This window comes from Homo sapiens, chromosome 6 (assembly GCF_000001405.40).
Source record: "Homo sapiens chromosome 6, GRCh38.p14 Primary Assembly".
Lineage (NCBI taxonomy): Eukaryota > Metazoa > Chordata > Mammalia > Primates > Hominidae > Homo > Homo sapiens.
The window spans coordinates 152733624-152759916 of record NC_000006.12 but is presented as its reverse complement, the minus strand read 5'-3'; the positions used below and the strand labels follow the sequence as shown (position 1 = coordinate 152759916).

General features: G+C 34.9%; 2 protein-coding genes and 1 long non-coding RNA gene across 13 annotated transcripts in view; 1 reads left to right on the top strand and 2 right to left on the bottom strand.

The window, feature by feature from the left end:
- Positions 1 to 5041, top strand: part of LINC02840 (long intergenic non-protein coding RNA 2840) — a 121122-nt gene extending 116081 nt beyond the window's left edge. For all 6 annotated transcript variants that reach the window (NR_183504.1, NR_183508.1, NR_183505.1 and 3 more), the window contains one exon: positions 1127 to 5041. This is a non-coding gene — a long non-coding RNA (long intergenic non-protein coding RNA 2840). The remainder of the gene's footprint in view (positions 1 to 1126) is intronic.
- On the bottom strand, positions 157 to 9120 carry VIP (vasoactive intestinal peptide). Of its 4 annotated transcripts, none has more exons than NM_003381.4 (7): positions 8958 to 9120; positions 7633 to 7749; positions 5629 to 5751; positions 4544 to 4648; positions 3652 to 3783; positions 2733 to 2821; positions 157 to 1007 (listed from the first exon to the last, which is right to left on the bottom strand). In NM_003381.4, the coding sequence occupies exons 2-6, from the start codon at positions 7737 to 7739 to the stop codon at positions 2776 to 2778; spliced, it is 513 nt and encodes a 170-aa protein (NP_003372.1). In that variant the 5' UTR covers positions 7740 to 7749; positions 8958 to 9120; the 3' UTR covers positions 157 to 1007; positions 2733 to 2775. The 4 variants fall into 4 exon arrangements, with proteins under 4 accessions (NP_003372.1, XP_006715625.1, NP_919416.1 ...); XM_006715562.5 differs by having other exon boundaries at positions 2733 to 2818; NM_194435.3 differs by having other exon boundaries at positions 3652 to 3780.
- A 3615-nt stretch (positions 9121 to 12735) lies between these two features.
- Positions 12736 to 26293, bottom strand: part of MYCT1 (MYC target 1) — a 49285-nt gene continuing 35727 nt past the window's right edge. The window contains exon 5 of one of the 3 annotated variants that reach the window (XR_007059337.1): positions 12736 to 14347. The gene's annotated coding sequence lies outside the window, so the exon portion shown is untranslated. The remainder of the gene's footprint in view (positions 14348 to 26293) is intronic. The other 2 variants (XR_007059339.1, XR_007059338.1) reach the window with 2 other exon arrangements.

Below are 26293 nucleotides of genomic sequence, written 5' to 3'. Positions count from 1 at the left end.
CTTACGTGAGAAAGAAATTTCTCTTTTATTTTAAGCCATCATTATTTTAGAACTTGCACACAATCAAATACCACAAAAGCTATCTAGTGCCTAGAACTTTAGAGCTAAAATGAGTTACTGCTGAATCATATAAAATAATCAAACAAAAAAATTATCTGCAATCATAAGCAAGGTCTTTATTTTCTCTCTTTGATTTCTTAAAATTATTTTGGAAAAATAGTTGTGTCTCCAAATGTACTTTCACAGAAGGAAGCTCATATGACCAAAGCAATATTCTGAGTCATTATGGCAAAAATATTTATTATTGAACAACTGAGTGTTTCATTCACTTCACATTTTACACATACTTAACACAAGCAGAAAGGGAAGTTTCAGTGTCAGAAGCAGGGGTCGTTCTCCTTAACTGAAAGACTATCAGGAGAGAGCCTTTGGTGATTAGCAATCCAAATTTGAGATTTTTTAAAACACCATTAAAAATAAAGGTTGCCTATAAAATATGGAAACACATAATATTTTCTGAAAATCTTTTTGGAAGAATGTCTTTTTATCTTCATTGTTACTATCTTAGACATTTTGAGGTTTATTTAACACAGCATTCCATCTGCTTAACATTCAAATTTAGACACACTGATTATCTGTTCTACTCTCCTGAATAGTTAAGTACACTCTATAAATAAACACATCAATTTTGCTCTATTACTACTCTTCCAAAAACGTCTCATATAATTGGAATTAACCTAGCATTTACTTATCATTAAATATATTTTTTTGTTAGAAAGGATATACAGCATATGAAATTGCAGGCTTTTTATGAGTTAAAGACAAAATTTAGAACTCTCAAATACTATTTACAATGTAAACTTCACAGTTATTACATTAGCTAGAATACATCACAACATTCACAACACAATATTTTTATTTGGTTTGGATATTGAAGTTGTTTTCTTGAATTACTTATGTAGAACTCAAAATTTAATTATGTTGCGTATCATTTTCCTTCAAGAATTCTGAAAAAGAAAAAATTGTTGCTTTAGGCATAAAATATATTTTATTTCTAGCATCTTAGTTTCATTCACTGATTTACTTATCTGATAAACACTTATTTCTCTTTGTCCCTTGTTAACAGCCTGTGGCAGGGGATCATGTCCTGGGACATACCAAGAGAGCAGCTTCTAGAGGACTGATTATCAGAGAGGAACTGGAATGTGAAAAGACGTCTAACTAACCATTATTAATGATTCACTTGTAATTTTCACTAATGGATGACCCACATGATTTCCTCTTCAAAGAATTTGTCCAAAGCCACCCATTTAAAAAAGAAAAGAATGGAGGATGGAATCTCATAAGTGATCTTACCATTTACAAAGCACAGTGTGATTAATCAATTCTCCTTTATATTTTAGTGCCTACCGTGTTTCTTAATTTGATGGAGAAGCCTTCTTATAAACACTCTTAGAAAAGCTATATGTAATTAACTTTCTTCTTTGAGCAAAGGGACTTGTTTCTCTGAGATGTCTATAAAAGATAAAGAGTTGATGTGGGCCACACTCCTGCCTCTGCTTTCTCTTAGAGGTCTAAGGGTAATTAGTGGACAAAAGCAGTCAATTAAGCAGGTATCTTCCCAGACACCATGTCCACTCTTGATGACTGTTGAAAACCTTAGATAACCCCATCAGGAACTGAGGTAAGGCCATGAATTGCCTTTAGTTTGAGCATGGGTGAATTTAATCTCCTTAACCTAGTTAGGGATTGGAATCTGGCTCACCTTCAGGTTTTATGAATAAAGTTTTATTGGAACACAGTCACTCCTATTCGTTTTACATCTAACTGTGGCTGCTTTTGTGCTACCATAGCAGAGTTAAGTCACTCTAACAGAAAATAGATGGCTCACAAAGCCAAACATATTTTACTCCATAGCCCTTTAAAATCTGCTAACCTTTGATATGGTGACAGCATGAAATTTCTTTAAGCACTTGCCCAGTATTATAGATTTTTTATGAGCGAATGTGAATATTAATGTAATGTAACTCAGGAAAGAAATATGTCTTGAACCCACATTTATATAAAATCAATTTTGATAGCAAGCTTATTACTTCACAAAGAAAAAAAGTCTATCCATGTTTTTTCTGCTCAAAAAAAATGTTGGCAGAGAATGCTATTAGAGTCATATAGGTAAAACAAACTTACAGGTAAAACAAGCTAAATTTAACTTTTGCTCTATGAAGTTTGCCATGTTTCAAGGAATATAGTTAGACCCAGAATGCCTTGATATTTTCATAGTAATGGGCCATGCTCTAATTTGGTGCTATTTCCCTATACTTAATTGAGGAGCTAACAGTCAATTGTGAGACTAAACCTTCAATTAATAAAAGCAGCATGGGTCGATCCTCAAAAGGAAAGCCCATTTTTCTTGTCAGTGTGAGTCAGCCTCCTCTGTTTTTTTATCTTGATACAAAGGTAGAAATAACCCCAAGTAAGCCAGGAACACTATTCAGATCTCAAAACGTTTGCTTATTGTGAGTGCTCTCTTTTACAAGATCAAAAAAATTTCATGAATCATTCTAAGCTGTTTACTGGGTTGGGGTCCACTGTTGTAGAAGTGTCTGTCTTGGATGAGGTCTCATGATGAGAAACTATTTAACCCTAAGATGTTTCTTACTAAGTGACTCTTAGCTACTTATATAATCAGAGACAGCCATAAGAATACAGAAGGAATGCACGAATATACCCACCACTGGGAAGTTGTCATCAGCTTTGCTCCAAAGGTCTTTTTCATCATTTTTCTAACTCTTCTGGAAAGTCGGGAGATTCTCCCTCACTGCTGCAGACCAGAAAAACATTGTACATATTAAGGCTCTCAGATGAGAAAGGGTCTAAAGAAACTATTATGACATAATGAATGTGCTGTTCTCTGTGCTCTGAAAGTGTATGGGGAGGCTAAACAATTATCTTTGAGGTTTGTTAGTACCTATGAATTATTCATCAATCTTAGAGTTTCTAAAATTATTCTCACAGAATTATCATCTAGTGGGCAAAGAGGTCATCTTGTCTGATCACACCCAAACAGAATTATCCTTAATACTCATCACTTAAACAAAAACAATTGGAATAAAAAGACAGAACACTACACTGTTTATGTATTGTGTCCAATATTTACACACCATAGAGAGATATAGATTTTACAGAATCTAAATATACAAAATACCTAATGGTTTAATTTGATTAAATAACAGTAGTGAATATGCACACGAAGTGAGTTCCATGTGTTACCAAATTGCAATTGACTATGCTTTACATGTTTTAAAAATCATCACTTTTGATGAAACTTGCTCTTAGATTCAGACTAGATGTCTGTATAGTCATCATTTTTAACACTGGCAGCATAGTAAAGTCAACTGGGGAACTCTTAAAAGAAATGTATGTCTAGGGCCACACCACCGAAGACACCGATTTCCTGGCAATTGGTTTGGGAGAAGGCCCAGACATCTGTATTTTTAAAGTTCTGCGGGGTAGTCTAATGTCAGCCAAGGTTGAAAATCACTGCTTCACGTAGTATAGCTAGATAAGTGAGATAGAGAGGTCTCCATGTGCAGCTTCTATTTTGAAAGTCAGTCATGATTCCTCATTTTAGCAAGTTCTCTTTTTCTTTACCTCCTCTTTCCATTCAGAATTGAGTTCAAATATTTCTTTACAGCCATTTGTTTTCTAAGGCGGGTATAGTTGTCAGTGAAGACTGCATCTGAGTGACGTTTGACTGGTACAGGGTCTTCTGAGATGTTACTGCTAAGGAACATGAGGAAAAGGAAATCAAAGAGTTTTCACAAGAAATGATAAATACACACATGTTCCAGGTTTCTTGGAGCCACATAAAAAGCAATTCCCACCCAACTAATTTTCTATCATAAAAAGACTAAAAGAAAAATACAACTAAACCTAAGGATGAAGGAAAGCAAGGAATCATCTGCCATATTTTGGCATGGCCTGGGACTGTTTTATGACACATTCTGTACAGCTGAGCAAATAATTCATCCAAAAATAAAAATTTGGGAATAGCTGAAGTTGTGCTCTGCCATTGGGAGAAATTTTTTTTTTTTTTAAAAAAAACATAATTACTTCTTTAGAAGCTATGCTACCCTGAGCAACGTCATCTAAATATTTGACTGTTGGCCATTTGGAATTCTCCATTTAATTTGAGCAGGAAGTAAAAAGAATATTCTGTTTGACCTTAAAATTTACCTCAGTCTGTACTATCTCTTTTTGATTGTTTTACTGAGTCTTGTTCAATTTGATTGCAGATTGCTAAATGATTGCTACTTGAGAAAAATGTGTGTCTGGAGTCAATGAATATGATATTATGAAAAAGTCTTAGTCCATGGGCTTGATAGATGTTATTGAAGAATACAAGTTATTTCATTTAACTAAATTAAACATTATCAACGAGTTTTCAATTTCAAACAAAGTAAATAACTTGTTAAGAGTGAAAATACAATATTCAGATTGAATAATGATAACATATTTTATAAAAATAATAAATTCTCTTTACCTAACACGTTTTCCCATAAGAGACTCAAGGTACTTTTTGGCAGAAAGTTGACCCAAGAGTTTACTGAAGTCACTGGTGAAAACTCCATCAGCATGCCTGGCATTTCTAAAACAAGGAAGAAAAAAATAGCTATTATTTTGTAAATGGCTTTCTAGAATATTATTATGGCTTATTAAATAACAAAAAAATTATGGGCTTATTATGAAAGCTTCTCATTAAAACTAAAGTTCAAAAGGAGATTTCTTAACACCCTAACAAAAGAGATCTTCTAGTCACTTATATCAAGATATACCCTATATTTCTAGCCCAAGACACTGAAAAATTAAAGAAACAGGCATTTCTAGGAGCACATTTCAATATTCCTCCATGGTTGAATCTTTATAACTATTTCTTTCTAAGAAATATTGGTGTAAAAATATGATCTATTTAAATTAGCTGCTATTTGTACATGGTGCTTTGTGTCTGCCCCACTGAATAAAGACATTCACAATGGGAAAATATTCTGATTTTGGAAAGTTCATAAACCCCAGTACACCTTTTTTTTTCTTTTTCCAAAATATTTGGAAACAAAATCTCTTAAGATAGAGAAGGCATTAAGGCCTATCATCCCACCTTTTCTCTTTCAAATGAAGCACCTTTTATACTTTGTCTGTACCAAGTACTATAGAGCTACTTGGTCTGTACTTGAAATGATGCTCTAGACAAACAGCTCTATGAATGAACAGCTCTATCAGGTATCTTTTCTTTATATAGAGACAAAACTCCTTGGCAACTCTTCCATCATTGGAATGCTAAATGCTGTACTTTTATCAGAATTGGTACAATCTGTGATGTTGGAATTATGTGCAACAGAATGGAAGTGAATGGTGTGTTCATCCTGGCTTGTTACAACCTTTCAGTATGAAAATTATGTACAGCTGTAAGATCTGCAGTAAATCAGGATGAATGAAGCCATGACACATAGAAACCTCTAGTGTTTTGCTATCGGAATAGCTTCATGGTGAGATAAAATAAGCACGTTTATAGTTCTTAAACACATTTTCTAAAATAAAACTCATTGGATAGTTTTATAAAAATAAACTCACCTGGATACATCATAATAGGGTGTGTCATTTTCAGCTAATGCATTTTGCAACATGTCAATGTCTTCTTTTAATGAAACTTGATCAGGTTCATTTGCTCCCTCAAAGGGTATTCTGTCACCCAACCTGATGGGGAAAGTTACACGAGAATAATACATTCTTTTTTCAGAAGACAGTGTGTATGGTTCCGCAACCATTTAAAATAAGATACTTAGACTCTTGGGAAGTATTACCCAGTCATAATATGAGAATAGCATAATTTGACTTAATGGCTCATATAGTTAATGAGAGTATAAATAGGAAATTCCTATTATCCTATAAAGTAGATGCCATATGACTTTTATAAGCTGAATATACAAAACACAAGAGCTACTTAATTCAATCTTATCAGAGCATTAAGCAAACTATACTTCTTTGGTGTAATTTACTATGCCAAGAATATCTTCACTTTGCAAAGTCAAATTTCGTATGTAGAAATATTTTATGCAAAATAGAAACTTGCAAAAAACTAATATTGAATGAGAACTGATAACAATTTATGGATTTGGTGATGTTCAGTATTACCTGTTCCAAACATCTCTGAAGAACAGAGTATTAACTGCTTCTCTCTCTCTCGACCCCCAAGCTTTGCTTCAAATATTTACTTTGGCATTATATATTTCTCTGTATTGACAGAGTTCAAAGAATGTCTCCATAGATGGATAGCTCATCTATGAAGATGAATTTGAATTCAATAAGTTTTATGGGGCCTTCTTTTTTCTAATCTTATGTATTAACACAACTTTAATAAGGGATGTACAATGTTACACTGAAAGACTAAGAATAGTCAAATGCATATATGGAATATGACTATATTTATGGATGCATGCATATTTCAATCACCGGCAACTCTTATAATTTTGTGTGTGCAGATTTTCACTGTTAGGGCAAACATCCAAGGAGCGTGTCAGCTCCTGGACACTTGTGTATCTTTCAGTGATTTGGGAGTTGGGAGTCACTAGCAACTAGTCCTCTGTGGGTCTGAAGCTTAGCAATCAACACAAATGTCCACATTCTTGTGATTGTTCATCTGCTGTGGTAGAACTATTCAGATAGAACCATTTTGTTTAGTTATCAAAGCAACGCAGGAGCTGTATTTAAACAGATTTCACAGAGAACACTAATAGCTAAGAGGTTATTCTCTCTGTTGAGCATAAGTCTACCTTAAGCAAAAAATCAAGAATGACCTAATAAGCAAAGAAGGAAACCAACCCAATTATTATTTTTCCTTTGGAGATACAGTGGTGCCCGTAAACTGAAAGGAAAATTCAAGCTAATATAGTTTTCATTTATTGTTTACTTCTTTAGCATACATTAATAAAGTTTTAAATAAGAGTTGTGTTATACTTTATGGATTTGGAATATATAATATAACATATAGAACAATAAAACTAAGGATTTATGGTCCAAACAAAGTATATCAAAATTTTCCTATTGGGGGAGTGTATCTCAATAGATCAATTACCCCATATTTAATATTGGCAAATTGACTCTGCCTAGATAGATTTCTGTGCAACATGATTTTATACATGTTTCACTAATCAACTACTAGTCTTATGATTATTTACTGATTAATCTTGAAAATAAACTCAAATGTGGTTGGCAACTAAACAGCTTTTTTCCACCAGAAATTGAACTGACTTGAGATAACAATGGATAAAAGCTTATTATTTATCTAAAGATGGTTTTGAATAAAAAGAAAGTGAAAGCCTCCTTTCACCATGTTTGGGAATGTGATCCACTCAGCCCATAAAACTAATAACTGACAGTGTCTCTCATGCCCTGAAAGTGAATTCCAGGACTCAGAATGACCTGATGTTGACAAACACCTCTCACTCAACACATCAAGGAAAAATTTAAATACATAATACATAATTTATACTATTTAGTTGTCCAACAAAATGTATAGGAAATTCCCATTTAGATGAGGAAGGAATGTTCAGATGTTTGAATTGAAAGGGAACTTACCTGAGAGCAGAAGGTGCCCTGTAAAGAGGCCATGCCGAAGTCTGTGAGAAGAGCACACTGAGAAGAGTCAGGAGCACAAGGAGCTGGGCCTTATTTCTGGTGTCCATTTCTGTGCCTCTAAAGAGAGAGAATCACCTCAGTTCTTCCAGCCAAAGATGTCACCAGCAAGGTAATTCTGATTGTCTAGCAGTAATTTTCAATGGCTCTTGCAGAGTTTGTAAAGAGTAATTTTCATCTTGTAGAAAGAGTTAAATTGCAAGATGATACATTCAAAAATCAGTATTTCTCTCAGTGACAGGTGCTTGAATAAAAATTAGAATCCTTTTCACCTGCTGTCTGGGCACATGGTTGGCCCCAGTATCTATTGAATGCCATACTTCTATAGTGCTGGAAATAACCCTGGGGACAATCTTTTCATAACAGGGATGTACCACTCAAGCTTAGTGTATTTTTTGACGAAGGAAACAGCTTCAAGACATTGATTTTCTTCTGCTTTAAAATTTCAGTATCTGACTAATATAAGACTAGAGTATCATCTATTTAATAATTATTCTGCTCGTGTGTGTGCAAATGTATAAATATAATGTGTATATATACATATAATTTTAAAAAAGATTTTGTATATACATTACTTTTTCCTCTTTCAATTGTAGATATTACGGAAACTTATTTCCTTACACCTGGATTTGAACTTCTTAACTCAGTAGTGAATATTAATACTCAAAATATTACTGAATCATATGTTGTCATTGAAATAAATTTTTCCATAAGAGGAAAATATATATTAAAAGCAAAGCTTGCATTTCTTGCATTTAATCAACTTACACATTTCATTTCTAGTTTCTAGATTAAAAGCCTAGGAGTAAGGTCTGTTTCTCTTGCTGCCTATAAAAATTATGGAATTTAAACTTAAGGAAAAAATAAATGCATCTTAGATTCACTTAACCAACATACGAAATAGGAAAAAAAAAGCACTTTAAAAATAAGTTGAAAATTTCAAAAGCAAATGTTCCCACTGAAATTTTCAGTCAAAAATCTACATACAAGTAAACTTTACTTGAATGAATTATTTGTAAAAATCAGTATTCAGTAAAAGAGCAAGCAGGGTAAAGCATCTTACAAACAAAAGAATTCAGAAAATCTATCCATATGAGAGAAATTGAAGTATTTCTATCCTTACCAGGTGACTTGAGAAACTTGTTTTTTGCTGTTGCAAAAGCAAAGCACTATCAAATTCTTTTCAAGAGAGAAAAATTCATTATTTTGTGAGAAAAGTTCCAGAGGCAGGAGGGAAAAAGAAGAGGAAAGGTAAAGTTTTCACTTACCTCGCCCAGTCGTGCTCCCCCGGAGCTGACTGTTCTGGTTTGTTTTGGAGCTGTCTTAGGTGCTGAAGTCCTGGGAGTAAGAGAAAGGCTCCACCAGTTCTCTGCCCTTAGCAATGGCTAAGGGTTGGCTGTTACTGCCTGCTGGTGCTTCTCACTCTACCCTGACCAGCATTTCAAAGCCCATCATTTTATAGGGCTTATACTTAGGACTGAGCAATCACAAAGTGCTCTGAAAGACGTCACAGTATGACGGCCATGGGATGAATAGGGCTTGAAGTTCTTACTTAATTGTCATTATGCCTAATTTATATAAGTTTATAGTGAGCAACTTCAAAATGTAAGATAAGAGGAAATTTACTTTTCTTTAAACAAACAAAGTAGCAAGCTCAATGTGAAATGTTTTAACCTTTAATTAATTGTAAAATAAGAAAATGATTGTAGTGTTATAGCCAGGGCCATTGGGATTCCTTCAGAAAATAAAGACTTCATGTGTAGAAACAAATGCATAAAGCAACAAACACTTATGTTCATTACGCTTATAAAAGTATAATTATACTTTATTACAAAGTATCAATTCTCTTAATATTTTTAATTTTTATGCTATTCATATAGTTCCAGATTTAATCTTTCTTGAAATCTATCCTAACTTTAAAAGCTCTAGAGATAATTTTCACCTTCCTATTATTACATTTCGTCTTTGTTGAAACTAATTCCAAGATAAGTGTTTCAGAAAGTCTCTAAGATAGTAAGATATGCACGCTGTTGTACAAAGCAGTACAAGTAGTGCTATTTCATATTTGTATAAAATGGCACAATTCCCAATGCACTTTTACATACACTGTGTCAAATGATCCAAAAAATAAATTGTTGTCAGGCTATATACCTCAAGGAATTTAATTGTCTTTTCTTTTTAAAGATTTTCCTCATCACTTTTATAAGTCTTTGCATAATGTAGAATTAGTTTTCTACCCTCATCCCCAACACACACACATACTCAAACCAGTTTTGAACATTTCTGATTCAATCACTTGACAGGTGGCTTCAAATAGTTGAAAAGCATTTATATAGTACTTTGATAAATACTTCACTTCTATTTGTGGATTTGTAACTAAAGGTAGTCTAGCACACATTCAATCAGAGTTTAAGGTAAAAATGCAGCCACATGAAAAATTTCCTAAACAACAGAGGAAAATGCCATTTTTCCTTTTATTTTAAAGGCTTTCTGCCATGTGTATTATTTTTACATTTTGTTTCTAAGTTTCATAAGACAGAATGGCTTTACAGTCCTCTTTCTTCTACTTTAAGATTGTAGTATCTATTTCCTTCGTTCAAAGTCAGACTGATCCAGTAAAAGAATATCCTGCTATGCTTAATCATATTTTCTAATCCAGTTACCAGAAAAATTAAATGAATTAAGTTTCAAAATGTCTGGAAATTTGTTTCCCAGTTGACAGCTCTGACTTAAGCCAGAGTTCCTGTGGCTTAATTCCAGGAAATCTTTTTTACCTGATTATTACAAACTAGAGGTTGAAACAGTTCTCATATGGAATTTTTTTATCCTTAGCTCTTCATCACCCAATTCTTAGTGAACCAATTTTATTTAAGAGCAGAAACAGCAAAGCAACTTAATTGAGGGTCACAGACAAATGACTGCTGAATGATAAGAAGAAAAATTTTAAACATAAAAGATGTAAAGCTGATCATTATTTGGCCTAGGCAAGCACTTAGCATTTACAAAGAGTAACTATAGTAGCTTTTCCCAATACAAAAGACAATTGCTTCTATTATAATAATAATAAGATAAAATAAAAAGAAATAATTCAATTTTATTACCTCTGAATAAAAGTAAACTCAACCAAACAACTGCATTTTCTCTTATGAATTTAAACTAGAAAGCAAAACAATTTGAAAATGGAATCATAGCACCATCTGCAGGTTCAAAGTTTTAATTCACAGACTTTATAGAATTGTGTTTATTTCTTCTTTTCTTTCAAGGAAATGAATTGTAAACCAGAGGTCCTGTAGCCAGCTTAACTTTTGGATGCTTCCAGAAAAAATAAACATAAGAAAAAGTACTGCAGTCAAATTTATCCTGAATTCTCGGTTACCATAAAACTTAGTAAATAAGTACAAAGATACAAACTTGAATTTACTGTTTAAATGTGTCTTTTCCGTACTTTGACATATTCTTCCATAATTTGCCTACATTTCTGGCAAAGTTTATTTTTGCCTTAGGCCTTCTCAGTAAAGTGATGTTTGTAATAAGGGGAACTATAATTCATTCACATGGATAGAAAAATCTTCAAGATCCTTCTTTTACAAATAAGTAAACTGATCTCCAGAAAGTTTCAGTAATTTTTGCCACTCAGGTGGTTAATAACAAATACGAGATTGGAAGATAGACCGTCTGATTTTGAGTCAGCATTCTTTCAATTTAGAATTGGTAATATTCTGTAATTGTTGCTATCACCTTTTTGATGCTAGCAGGTCAGATATGGAAATTGACAGCTCATAAAAATATTGGCATCTCCTCTCCCCTTTTTTCACCAACAGAACCAAGAGCAGGGAAATAAAACTGGCATTCTAAATTCAAACATACTGGATGCAAGGAAATTAGATGGAAGGGATTTTCAAGCTCAGGATATTAGCAGAAATCCAAATTTGCCTTTTTTTCTTTAGTGCAAAATACTAATAGAGGGTCCATATTCTTATTATGGATTAAATGCCTAAGCTTGTGCTCTTCTGCCTCTTTTTATGGTGGTTTTACCTGCCTAATTCACCCTATTTCACCTCCAGTCCTGAGACTTAGCCAATGTCTGCGTTGGTAATCCTGAGTGGGTAAGTCTAGATCAGAGGTCTGGAAACTACAGGCTGTGAGCTAAATAGACTGACCCCTCTGGATTTTGTTTGTTTGTTTCTTCATTCATTTGTTTTTGTTTGTTTACATCTCTCAAGCTAAGAATGATGTTTATATTTTTAAATGGTTAAAAAAATTAAATGAACTTTTTGTGACACATGACAATTATACGTTATTATTTTATTTTATTTTGAGACGGAGTCTCATGCACTCTATCATCCAGGCTGGAGTACAGTGGTGCAATCTTGGTGCACTGCAACCTCTGCTTCCCAGATTCAAGCGATTCTCGTGCCTCAGCCCCCAGAGTAGCTGGGACCACTGGTGCCCACCATGTTGGTCGGGCTTTGGTCTGGAACTCCTGAGCTCAAGTGATCCGCCTGCCTCGGACTCCCAAAGTGCTGTGATTACAGGTGTGAGCCACCTCCCTGGCCAAAACTTATATATAATTTAAACGTCAGTGTCCATAAATAAAGTTTTGTTGGAACATAAAAGCATTTCATCATATATGTATTCTCTATAGCTGCTTTTGTGCTACAACGGCAAAGTTGGATAGTTGCAACAAACTGCACAGCTCTCAAAGGTTAAAATAATTACTATTTGATCTTTCACAAAAAAAGTTTTTCAATCCCCTAGATCCTCCTGTTTGGCAGATATTTAAGATGATATGTTTGCTTTAATAGTCTTAAATCCAATATCTTTCAATAACTTGTATTAGGAAATATATATTTGCGTATATATATTTTATATACCTAATGTATAATGTATTATGTACTGTATATGTTATATATACATAAATACATATATTCTATACAATATATTATACATGTATATATGTATAACATACAGAATATATACATACATTTAATATACATGTATACTTTTACTAAAAGTGTACATTTGCATAAGATGTATATACATACGTATATTTGTATAGCATATTAAAAGTTTATATATTTAAAGCATCTATATTAGAGTATATATAAACACTTTCAATTCTTTTAAATTAGAAAATTTGAACTTATTTTCAGGATTTTGTATTCTTGTCATATTAGTGATTTGATGAAAATAATATTACAATAAAGGTAAATTTTCCCTTTAAAGTTACCTATTAGAATTCATTTCGGAATCTAAAAATATATCAGCAAATATAAAGCAAAACAAATAATGATCTAAATGATATGATCGAGGACAACTTCTCCCTTAACTCCAAAACCTCGTTATCTGTCCCACTTACTGATGCTGAGTTTAGAGAAAATTATTCCTTTGTCTCAGAATTTTTTTGCTTCAAATCAAATTACATGTAGAAAGAACAATGCAAGTGCTGCAAGTCATTCGAACTTTATTAGGGTTGTATGTATCAGACGATTTCCTGAAAATAGATTTCAAAAAGAAGGGTATAGAGAAATCACAGGAACACACAATACTAAGATGTGGAAGTTGAAAAATAGAGTATTAAAGATTTTAAAACCAATTTTACCTACTTCACAATGTCATCTCTTATGTATATGTTCCCCCACCACATAGAGTAGTCCTCCCTTATCTGCAGTTTCTCTTTCCATGATTTCAGTTACCTGTGGTCAACAGCAGTCTGAAAACATTAATGGAAAATTCCAGAAATAAACCATTTATTTGCTTTAAACTGTGTGCCATTCCAAATAGCATGATGAAATCTTCTGCCATCCTGCCCAGTCCAGCCTGGGATGTGAATCATCCCTTTGTCCAGCATATCTGTGCTGTCTATGCTACCTCCCAGGTAGTCACTTAGCCAATTTGTTGACAGATGGAAAATACATGGTTTATGTAGGGTTAGGTGCTGTCAGTGGTTTCAGGCGTCTGCCGGGGTGTTGGGAGATGACTGTACACATTCCATGCAACCAGCCTTCAACTCAATCACCCTCTGTGTTTACTATATGGATCAAATGAAAAACAACCATGTCTAATTTCTGGCTTTTAACCTTAAGAAAGCTGCAGTCTAGATGTTAGAATGAAGATTTGGCAAGAATATTTTCTGAGTGAGTTCTCATGGCCCCTCTACCACTACATCTATTCTCCACAGGCCAGGGAAGAGCCTCTGAGATGGGGAAGCTGGTGTGAGTTTATGGTAGAGTGGAAGGGATGGATGACAGAACCCTGTGTTATCAAGTGTAGGGGCTGAACAATAGAGGCTAACTTGGCTTCATTTCACATCTGGTTGACATAAGACAAAGCAAATCATGGAGAAACACTCTGCATAATGGTACGGGAGACAAACCTGGATGATAGTTGCACACCCTGCTTAGGAAAACCCAAAATACCATCCAAGGAACAAAGAGTGGAAAGGGCCTAGCAACGGACAGGTTTTAAACAACCTACCAAGAGCCAGCGTGGGTGTCCACACCCAGGGACCAGATGTCACTGCATATTTCAGTCGATGACAGCCAGCCCTAGACCATCTCCAAAGTGCCCAGAGGAAGCCTCCCAGATTTCACATTGCTCTGTCAGAAGCTTAGATGCTACTCTGAGGGAAAAGAGGAGACAAATCCTCTTTTCAAATCTGAAAGACAACATTTGAAATGACAGAAAATCTGAAATGATAGAATTTTAAATCTGAAAAGTATTGCCTTTACCTAGAAATGATCAAGTTAAACTTTTTTTCCCCTAGACTTGGAGTCTGTCTCTGTAACCCAGGCTGGATGGCAGTGGCACAACTGTAGCTCAAGGCAGCCTCCAACTCCTGAGCTCAAGTGATCCTCCTGCTTCAGCCTCCCATGCCGCCAAGATTACAGGTGTGAGCCACTGCACCTGGCAGAGGTAAACATTTTTAAAAACAAATTTTTGTGTTCATTTTACTCTGTGGCCTGTGAAAATATATACTCACCATTACTTTACAATGGCCTTGAATTGTGTATAGTCATGGTTTGCCTGGGAAGAGCCTGCCAGGGACCCTATATCCTACTTAGTGTTAAAACCAGTTTCAAAGAGGCCCTGGGACCGAAGCTTGGTAACTTTGAGATTTGTCCTAGAATGGAGCACGGGGGCAGGATGGAGGCCTGCCCTGACCCTGGAGGCCACATGTCTCCCTCCCTCTCTTTGTTCTTCAGTTGTTCCAGCTGGTCTCCAACTTTGCCACCTGGTTCCTCACCTTAGGCTTCTTCAACCCATTCCTTGGCCCTAAAGCTAAACCTGTTTCTTTCAGTTTGCCTCAGCCCTAGAGGACCTCCCAGGAGCCCTGAGTTTCGGCTTACTCTTGGGAGAGATCTGACGCCACAGGCTCTCCCCCCAGCTCCCGCCTCTGCTGGGAACCCTCTCTGCTCTTCTTCACTGTTTCTATTTCCTTGAAGGCTGACCTTTATGGACTACATCGTCCACACCCTGGTCCTCTGGCTGCTGGCTGGGCTCAGCAAAAGAGACGTGCTGGTTGGAAATGAAAGGACCAAAGAGGAGGGAAAGAGAGTTCTGGGTATTTATTCCCCTAGGCCATGGCTTGGAAGAGACTACATTCCTCCCGCAAGATTCAGTTTCTGCAGGGTGGCCTCTCTCCTGCAGCCCTAGAGGGGCCAACGGCTCCCTGCTGAGGCTCATTCATGGATTACTCGCTACCTCACTACTTCTACCTCTTTATTAAACTCTCCTCAATTCTACCTCTTTATTAAACTCTCCTCAATTCACCTTTGGAAAGAGCCTTGAGTCCTTCCTGGACCCTTCCTAGTGTACTCCCATTCCCACACCCAATATTTAATTTTAGGATTGGATAGCTTCAGAAGGCCTGCATGTTTTAAAATTTTTGGTATTTTTCATTTGAGTTGGAAGAACTCTTAAAATAATCAATGTGGGAACTTGGAGGAAGGGCACTCTAGCCCCGAGCCGGTCTGTCCAATTGGTGAACAATTGATTTCTGAAGACTGCTGCTGAAACACAAATACATTAGAAGTTCATTCAGGCCCTTGATGCTCCTCGAGTCCCCTCCAGGAAAAGAAGCTGGATCCATTGCTGACACAATTGCAGAGAAAAGGTCAATGTGCTGCCAGAAGCCAGACACCAAATCCTCATGGGGTCTTTGTGAGGAGGTGTAGAGTAGCCTTGGGAAGGAGACTTGAGGCAAACTGGGCCCTGCGTCTCCAGGGCTGCTGGCGCCTGGCCCTCAGGAAAGAAACTCTCCCTGTCAAGGAAGCAGGAGCTGCAGCTATTTGATAAGCTTTTAAAATCACCATTCTTCTTAATCATATATTCTAATATCCTGTATCTGTAGTTACTTCCCTGTACTTCCAAGTCTGGAACACTAATGTTCTCATTTCTGACTCATAAAACCATCATTTTCAGCTAGAAAGAATTTAAGGTAATTTAGTCCTGTCACTTTGTTTTGAGAAATTTTAGCAACTTCATAACTGAAAAAAGGCAAGTGACTTCCAATGAGTAGCGGAGCTGAGATCTGGACCTTTCACCTTTCTCTTCAAGTGGGTTGTGAGGCCAGCAAATTCAAAACCCACAGAATAGAGCATGGAGAGTGGGGAGTGGGGCATGGTTGCCTTGCTGCTGTGACCCTCCGGATTTACCGGGACGGTTGAGCAATGTGTAGTGATGATGTTAACAGGCAGTTCAATCCAGTGATTTACATTTGCTTGCAAATAGTTCTTACCCCAAATGACAACCAAAAGAAATGTTGTTGAGATGCATCCTAACGGGGAGTCGCTTCCTAGGTCCACACTCCTTTCTGTGGCTGCAGTGCCTTTAGGGTGTCTCAAAGAAATACCACGCAAGGGCCGGGCGCAGTGGCTCATGCCTATAATCCCAGCACTTTGAGAGGCTGAGGCAGGTGGATTGCTTGAGGCCAGGAGTTCAAAACCAGCCTGACCAACATGGCATAACCCTATCTCTACTATAAATACAAAAATCAGCCGGGCGTGGTGGTGCATGCCTGTGTTCCCAGCTACATGGGAGGCTGAGGCAGGAGAATTAAGCAGAATTGCTTAAACCTAGGAGGCAGAGGTTGCAGTGAGCTGAGATCATGTGACTGCACTCCAGCCTGGGTGACAGAGAGAGATTCTGTCAAAACAACAACAACAACAACAACTACAAAATAATCGAAATGCCATGGAGGGAAAGAGAGAAAGCCGCTTTTTCTGTCAAAACAGTGCTGAGCCTAAGTATTAGATAGAGAAGGCACAGGGTGCTTCTTTCTTCTCTACATTCACAAGGACTATTCTTGGCATTTTTCTTACTAAGGAAATGAGAAACACTTTTGCAGTCATCAGAGTTTCTAGAAACAGATATCAATGACCTCTGCCTCTGACAATCATACTTATGTGTATAAACAGGTATCAATGACCTCTGCCTCTGACAATCATACTTACACATATACAATCATACATTATGTGTGATGGGGGAAATCAATGTGGGATTCCAAGTTCTTTGGATGACAAAACTGAGGATCCACTAAAGAAGGCCCGGCCTCCATTCTCCCTCTCCTGTGCAACTTCTATAGACTCAAATAGGGTTCCACTAGTTACAACCTTTTTTCTTCCAAGCTCTTTTCCATAATGCTGCTAAAGTGATCTTCCCCCAAAATGTCTTTGATCATATCATTCCCTTGTTTATAATCTTTCTGTGGTTCCCTATTGCTCTTGAAGGAAACAGGCTTGCAAGCCTGGATCACGCTATTCTCATCAATGGTCCCTCATTGTCCCCTCCCCATCCACCCACAATCTATTCTCAGCCACGTGGAACAACTTTCAGGTTCTCAAAAGTACCGTATTCTCTCATGTCTCTGGCTTTTCACACATACCATTTCCTCCCTCAGAAACACCTACTCCAATCTCTTTTTATCCTTCGGGTCTCAGCTTACAGTAGAACATTTTTTTCCAGAAAGACTGTAACCCATTCTCCCATCAAATTTGGGTGAGGTGCTGTGATTTTGGGCCCTTGTTTAACCCCGTATTTCCCCCAGCCTAACACTGAGCATGTTGGATCACTACAGTGACATACAATGACATTTCCTCCATCGCCAGACACTTTTAGCATGCAAAAGCATGTTGCTGTCACGTAATAGGTGCTCAGTAACTATTTCAGATGAGCGAGTGAATGAGATTGAAATTGTACTTATTTCAACTCTATTTGGTTTGGACCTCAAGTCTTTTTAAAAAACTTTTATTGTTTTAGTTTTCAGTTCTTTGGGTCCAATGTTCAATACTTCTTTCCTATTCTCAAATAAAACTTAGTCTTTGTACAGGATGGCTATTACTGAAATCCTACCAGCTTTGTTTTGAAAGATTTCTCAGCCATGTTTCTTTTTTTCTCTAGGCTAAGTTTCATTCGATGATAGTCGTTTTCTTAGTCCTTTAAGTCATCTGAATAATGCTTGATTCATATATTGGGACGTATTTTTAAATGCATAAATGTTTTTCCAGGTCTTGTTAAAAACAAAAATAGTGTAACTTCACAACAGAAAAGGGAATATTTTCTATAAAAATCATACAATTTTTAAATTCTATGATTCATTACCCCTTTAGAATGCCTTTCCAGCCTTGCTTTTATTGCATTTTATCTGTATTTTTTGTGATAATATTTTCTACAGCACACTTACATAATCAATTGATTTAATTATGCCTCTTACTGAAACTGTCTTATGTATCATTATATCCCCAATACCTGGTACATTATAAGTTGCTCCCAAATGAGCGCTGATAAGAATAAACATTCAAGGTGGAAAAGTGGAAAGGTTTTTTTTGATGTTTATTTTTGCAGCCAGTATTACTTAATCTTAATGTTGAATCTCCTCCTTTTTGCTGAAGCAAAAAGAAAACAATCTGGAAATGTTCTTATGTGAAAAAGAGTTCCAATTAATGTTTTAAAGCCTCTATAGTAATTCCAGGATCTAAAATCTTCACTTCACTCAAAAGCAAAGGGGGTTCTATTTAGACTGTTTAAGAGTTTTTCTTAGCATGAATGGGCATATTCGATGTCAAAACGTGTTAGTCACTTTACCTAGACTGGAAACATTGACAAAGTTGGGATTTTTTTTCTTTGTTCTGTGAAATAACTTCAAGTCAATGCATCACATTGGGGAGAAATTATTTAGAAATTCACATTGTTTTTAGAACTTAATATACTTATCCCACACTTCTTAAATTCTATAGCTCGTATACATTTATCACAGGAAATAAAAAGTGGCTGGGGTTTTCCTGAAACTCCTCTCTCAGCTTTGTTAACTGTCTTTACAAACTTGACCTATAAAGACCTTTCAAAATTAATTTCATATTTCTACAATTATTCTTATTAAGAATGTGCTTATGGCTAAAGAAAAATATATCTATAAATCAAATATAACTAAATACGCTGTAAATTTTTATATAAAAAAATTAGTTTTTCAAAAGTAAAAAATATTCGTCCTTTTGTTCTCACTTTCTTGTAAGACAGCTCCACCTAAAAAGGATTTCATCTGGGAGATGTGTACTTGTTTAAAACAAACTGGAGCCTCTTTTGGAAGAGAGTAACTTACTGAAATGGTGTCAACTAATTATGCATTTACGTCAGATGTATACTTTAATTTCCAACACTTCATAAAAGTTAGAACTATTTTATTACTTCTTATTTTTCAAGTTTATATTTCTATTTTTGTACAATGTCTACTTTTGGTTATTTAAGGCTCTTTTGTCAGTTTGCCAAAAATTCTATATGGTTAAACAGTAAGAAAAGAAGCAAATTTCTAAGCACTTTTAGAAAGTGAAATGGAAGTTATCATGCTTTTTTTGATAGGGATAATAATTATAATATTTCCGGCCTGGTACGGTGGCTCACGCCTATAGTCCCAGCACTTTGGGAGGCTGAGGTGGGCCAATGCCCTGAGGTTGGGAGTTCAAGACCAGCCTGACCAACATGGAGAAACCCCGTCTCTACTAAAAATACAAAATTAGCCGGGCATGGTGGCGCATGCTTGTAATCCCAGCTACTCACTCAGGAGGCTGAGGCAGGAGAATCGCTTGAACCTGGGAGGCAGAGGTTGTGGTGAGCTGAGATTGCACCATTGCACTCCAGCCTGGGCAACAAGAGCGAAACTCCATCGCAAATAATAACAATAATAATAATAACAATAACAATATACATATATAAAATATTTAAGAAGGAGTCTGTATTTTTATTTTTATTTTTGCTTCTTACTCTGAATTAAGAATTCTAAAGAGAAAGAATCTTGGAAGTGAATATAAACACCTTCCTCAGATAGATGAAATGAACAGCCAATTGGATTCAATTTTCACCAAACTAAAGAGTTACATACAAATAAATGAAACTGCCTGACAACTTAGTATTTTTTAAAACATAGAATTGAATATCAAGTTTATGACTTTAAAAAAATATTTCAAATTTCAAGTGAAATTAAAAATTGCAAAGGAAGTTATGGGCTTACTTGAATATATGACAGAAAGTTAATATTTTCTAAACCTAAAGCATTCATTGCAAATGGGTAATAAATATTAAATGCCTAAAAAAAGGAGAAACGATATGAATAGAAAATTCATGCAATAAAAACTTAAAATGATCAATTAACATAGTTAAATGTTCCATCATAAATCATTACCTCTGATCAAAAATGAAAGAGGCTTAAGTTAAAATTATAGAAACTCTCATCTTGCAAAATTTTTAAATTCTCTTCATTCTTTGCTGGCAATGTGATACATCAATCTATATCAAAATCATTAAAAATATTCACAATTTAAACCAATGATTCTATCTCTAGAAAACTATGCTAAGGAAGTAATAAAAATAATCCTACAGCAAAAAAAAATACAAAAATATTTAGAATAGTTTTACTTTTAATTGTGAAAAGGTATACTATTGATTGCAGATTATAATTTATTAAAATATTCTAAAAACTACTTGTAGAATATTTTAATAAATTATAATCTCCAATCAATATAAAATAATGTAGGCTTTTTTTTAAGGGAAACTATTTGGCAACGAAGAAACCAATTCTAGTGTTAAGTGTAAAGAGAAATATAAAACTCCCAATATAATTTTATTTTTTTAAAAGTATCCTTTGTGTATCCTAAAAATAAACCCCCAAAATGTTAACAGGAGCTGTATTTTGGATGATGCCATTGATAATACTTTCTTTTTTTCATTCTCTTCTCTATTTTTCAAATTTTTATTATTGATTTTGAGCTGCATTTAATTGAAATACCTTTGTTTCTAAAAGACTAGAAAAACTGTAATGGTGCCTTATATTTAAAATTCTGTGATGCATTATATATTTTTTATCAGCATGGCTTTAAAAACAAAACTAAAATTTTGTTCTGACATGTTAATTACATTTTTTTCTTTCACCATTAAAACAGTAATGTCTCACACATTAGTCCAACCTTCTGAATACTCAACAAATGGTAGCTAAATGTGCTAATCCATTTGGGTTGTTTTGTTTCTTTTAAGCACATACTATGTGCTGGGAAACGCTGTAAACTTAAGGATTAATTTGCATTATCTCATTTGATCTCAACAACTCTATGAAGTAAGCATTATTCGCTCCATATTCAGCAGGAAAAAAAATATGGTATAAAGAAGTTAATTAACTGGCAGAGTGTCATTTAGTTAACGAGTGGAGAAGCCAATATTTGAAAGGTAGGAATTCCATTAATGGACAGTGAAATCCTGAAAACCTCTAGTGAAAACCTAGGAACTTGTCAAGGAATTGGCAAAATTCACTGGAAGATAAAAACGACAATATTAAGGAAAGAACAACAAAATAATTGTAAGTTTATTACAATATAACTATTTCCATTTTCTCCATATTTCCTTTCACAAGTATACATTTTACTTGCTGAAAGTATAATAGATGTTAAACATATGTCTATAATAGATGTTAATCATATGTCTATAATATATGTTCAAAGCATGTCTATATACATGTTAAATATATGTCTATGATAGTTGTTAATGCTGTTTTTCCTTGACATTTAGCCAGACATTTTCCATGCTTTTACAGAATTTTTATAATTATTTATATTTGTGTTTATATAGCTGTTTTTATGTCCCTTAATGTAAGACCCATGGTTTTCCCCACTAATGTTTTCTTATTTTCTGTTACAAATAAAGATATTCTAGATATCTTCATGAATATGGCTTTTTGCTTTCCTTAAATTATTTGATTGGGATAAATTCCTAGAAATAGAATTGCTATGTCAACTGGTGCAAAGAGTCATAAAGCTGGCTGGAGAAACTGAGAGAAGAAAATAAATCACTTAAATAAACTCTTTAATTTTGTACAAGTGAAACAATACTTCCTACACTTCAACAGTCATTGACTAAATGAAGAGATACAGCTATTATATTAGCTGCTCTGGATGCCTCTTAATTGTGAAACCTTAAACAACATATGCATTATACCAGGTCTTGAAAGAGCAGTTACTGATTTCTAGTAGTAAATAAGAGGGTTTATTCTTTCATTCACAATAACTTGTTCTTTTATGACTTAATAGCATTTTGAATGAAATAGATGATGCCTTGTTCCCCACCTAGATCCCTTTCACAGACAGTGGAGAGTGAACATTCCTTCACAAGCAAATAGTATGATCATATTATTGTACATAGAGGGAGCATAGTGTAATGGCTAAGACAGGTGTTCTGGAGCTGCACTGCCCTTGCTTGAATCCCAGCTCCACCACATAAATACAGTATAAGACCTTATGCAAGTTATCCAATCTCTCTGGGAGACTTTAGAAATAGATATAGATATCTCCAATATTTTTCTTAATATACAATATATAATACTAAATCTTAATTTATATATAAACACACACATACATAAGATGCATAGTAATTTTATTCTCATGATCTAGCCAAGACCTTAAGAAGCTTCTACTTCAAACTCTTTATTGCCAGAAAAAAAAAAACTTTTAATTTATTTATAGCTAACAACCCCATTCAGCAAGGTATCTCATTCAGTTACAGAGAAGTACATTTTGCAAGCAATTTATCTTAGTATATTGTTCCAGGAAATTGCATTGCTCAAAGCCAGACAGTCTATGAGTGTCTTATTCAACTCTTTCTTTTGTAATGTTCAAGATAAGCTTTTGGTTATATCTGCTTTAAAAATACTTGTGTTAAACTTATTAACACACTACATGATAAAAACTCAAAGTTTTGTAATTTCATTTGGAAGGCTCACAACATCATTTTCTGTTAAGATCTATATCTTTCCTAGGAATATACCCTGTGCTTACTTCCAAACATATATGAAGCAGGGTTCTCTACCAATTAGCACTAAATCAGCATGTCAACTTTCTTAAGAGGAAGTACAAACCACCCTTGTTGACTGATTCTTACAGCATATGTTTTTATTCTTTAATGTGTCATACAGAAATTTTTTATTCCGAGAAGTAAGCATGGAGCACACTCTCAAAACTAATGATCATGCATGTTCACGAATTTCTTTTTTTAAAAAAAAGTGTATTAATAATGGATGTGCAGCCTATTCTTTTCTCTCAACCTTTTCTAAGGCAAAGTTTCTTTTGTTAAAAAATGCAAACCCTGTTTTCAGAAAAATGCATCCATGACCTTATACACCCACCGATGTACACAATTTACAGGATTTCCTAGAGCTCTCTTTCAAAATTTATCGATTCCCTTTGGGGTCTTGAACCTGGTCAGGAAGTTTTCTCCAGATACTCTAATAGTCCCCTCACAGGACCACGGAAGTGAATCCTGCCTCATTGATATGGTGGGGTTTGACTCAACAGGATTATTTTCACTGATTTTTTTTCTGTCATGATGACAACTCCCTAAATTAAGACACATCCACATAAAATTCCTTGCTGTATTTATCCTAAGGGTATTACTTAGTAATTTGTTCATTGCATCACACAGGATCCTTTTTATGATAAAATTCAAATATTGTTAGGACCTAAAATCAGAACTCACTGTGCTCTGGAATGAATAATTTGTCTTTATCTTATGAGCTCTGTGAATATATATCTGTTCCTATTCCTTTCATTAAGTGCACAGCTAAAAAGCTAAGAGCTAAATCCATGGCCCTTTGTTGGTTTTAACGATGTAAGACTCTGGTTTTTAGCACTAACCTTATTACTGGCTCCACTTTGCTTCCCCTTGGCCCCAACTCTATCATCTACTTTATATTTTTGTTATCTTGTTTAGAACCCCTTTTATAAATATCATATAACAATGCAAAGAGGAAAGAAATAAAAGATGGAATGAAAGAATAAAATGAAGAAAAAAAGGGCTTTTTTCTTTTAACTGTTACATTCCTTTACATTCAATTTCATTCAAAGTAAGCAATTCATCTATGGCTATACCACCCTGAGTGTGCCTGATCTCATCAAAGTCAGCAATTAATTAAATACTTAATTCTGAAATTAAGTAAACAAATATTTTAAACTTTCTATTTCAAAATGTTATAATACTTTAGAAAATTTATATTAAAACAGAAAAGAGTAATAACAATTATCTTGTCAATTTCTGTGATCCATTGGTGATTGCAAAATCTCAGTTGCCAAAACTTCTAAACTTTAGAATGCATGAGGTAAGCATATTTGGAGTTCCTCTTCACCTCTATTTAGGCATTTTGTTTACCTCTAAACATCAATGTCCATGGATATAGCTAAATGTTTAATATAAATGTAGTGACAGAATTCATCATATGGTGATCCAATTCGGTAGCAAGAATTAACTCTAGACTACTTAAGTTAATAATAAAAAGTATCTACTAGGAAAATTTCAAATTTCAATATTACTACAAAATAAGATCTTATTTATTATGAAATATCCAAAGGTTCTACCAATTCAAACCAATATGCATTGATTTCTTAATAAAGGCTCACTTACCAAAAAGTTTATCTATTTATAATATTTACAACTTTGAAATAAAGACAATCTTCTCCAGTTCTTTCAACAATGCTAAACTAAATATTTTTACCCTTTTAGCATTTGAGCCTCCTCTCTACCTGCCTTACAAAAAAACTGGATGATATCCTAATAATTTACACCCTTCTTTGTATGTTTTATTCTCCTGTTAAAAACAGTCTTGTTCTTTTATGTGCTTTAGAAACATTGGAGATAAATTTCCTTTTTAGAAACCTTCTTTCAGCAGCATTACCTCATAAGCATTGCCTGATTTTATAAATCATCTGTAGATTAGGGATCTGGCATATGTTGTTTTATTTTAAAAAACAAATTTCCAAATTTCCAGTAAATGCATTTTTCAGTTTACACTTAAGAAGTCAAAATGTCAAGATGACTCAAAAACAATACATTAAATTGCCAGTGAACTTTACAGATTTGATTTGGTAAAGATAGCACAAGATTCAATGAGACCAAGAGTCTACAATATGCCTGAGTGAGCAATCAGAGATCATTCAGGAAGATAACGTCAAAGGCCAGACCCACGCCACTTATGCAAATACCTTGGGGTGGAATTAACCTAATAGAATGAAACATTTTCCTAAAAAAAAAAATGTCAAAGCATGTGGGAAATGTTACTGAAGTGTCTTTTCCAATGAGAATTTCCATGAGTTATAATCTGTGGAAAAGCATGCATGCACATAGGGAAAGAGAAAGGACAAATGAGTCACTGCACGCAGCTCCCACCTCTTATTTCCACCCAGAAAGAATACTGCTCATGACTATGTTCCCTTCCAGGCAGGTGAATGGAAGTGTCTAAACACCAACATTGCAGTTTTTCCAAGCAACACAGTTGCCTTTGGTGTTTAACACACATGAGCATCTCCTCACTTCCGAAACTTTTGGGGAGGAATTTGAACCATAAGTTTTGCGCTTAACCAGAAATAAGTTTCATGAAGTCGGAGATTTATTCTGAAGAGTTGGAGGACTGAAATCCTTAGAATAATATAGTTCCTGTTTTAAAACTGAGATATGATGTGGGAACCTTTTAACCATCAGTAGGAATTCCACAATCTGGTCTCACAAGATACTTATGATTGAGGAAGAGTATGCTCTTAAAAGCAATCATCTACCTCTAAAGGATAGTCTTGAATCCCACATTTCATTTCACAGCATAAGAAAAGCAGAGACAGGAGAAATCACCACAGTATTCTGGTGAAGGATTGATGGACTGTTTTTAATTTTTAAGACCTGGCTCTTTGTGCCAGTAGACTTTAAGAGGCAAGACTGTCTGTATGCCAAAATGTTAACAAGCAGAAGCACTTATGGAGTGATGGGATAAGGTCTTCTGAACATTTTTTCTGCCATAAAAACAGTGGAAATAAATGGCAAAAGAAAAAGCAACTTGTTCAGTACTCTGGAAATTAACTGAAGACTTGTGACAACTTGAGGAGCATTTATTCAAGAAAAGCAACTGAATCTTGTTAAGAACAGAGACCTTAGTGACATTTTAACTTGCCTATTCCCAAGTCCTTCTTGCCAGCTCCAAGGTAGCCATGAAAATCATCAGGCTTACAGAAACCAACAGCCTAACAGTCATCAGAGAAGTCAAAATGGGTTAGAGCTTCTTTAAAAAGCTCCATGCCTCAGCAGTAGT

What these genes read in the sequence shown, in the direction of transcription:
- VIP (NM_003381.4), bottom strand. Translation starts at nt 7,739, where the DNA reads ATGGACACCAGAAATAAGGCCCAGCTCCTTGTGCTCCTGACTCTTCTC. An exon ending in AGGGCACCTTCTGCTCTCAG is followed by an intron (nt 5,752 to 7,632) that starts GTAAGTTCCCTT and finishes TTTCCCCATCAG; the next exon opens with GTTGGGTGACAGAATACCCT. An exon ending in CCCTATTATGATGTATCCAG is followed by an intron (nt 4,649 to 5,628) that starts GTGAGTTTATTT and finishes TCCTTGTTTTAG; the next exon opens with AAATGCCAGGCATGCTGATG.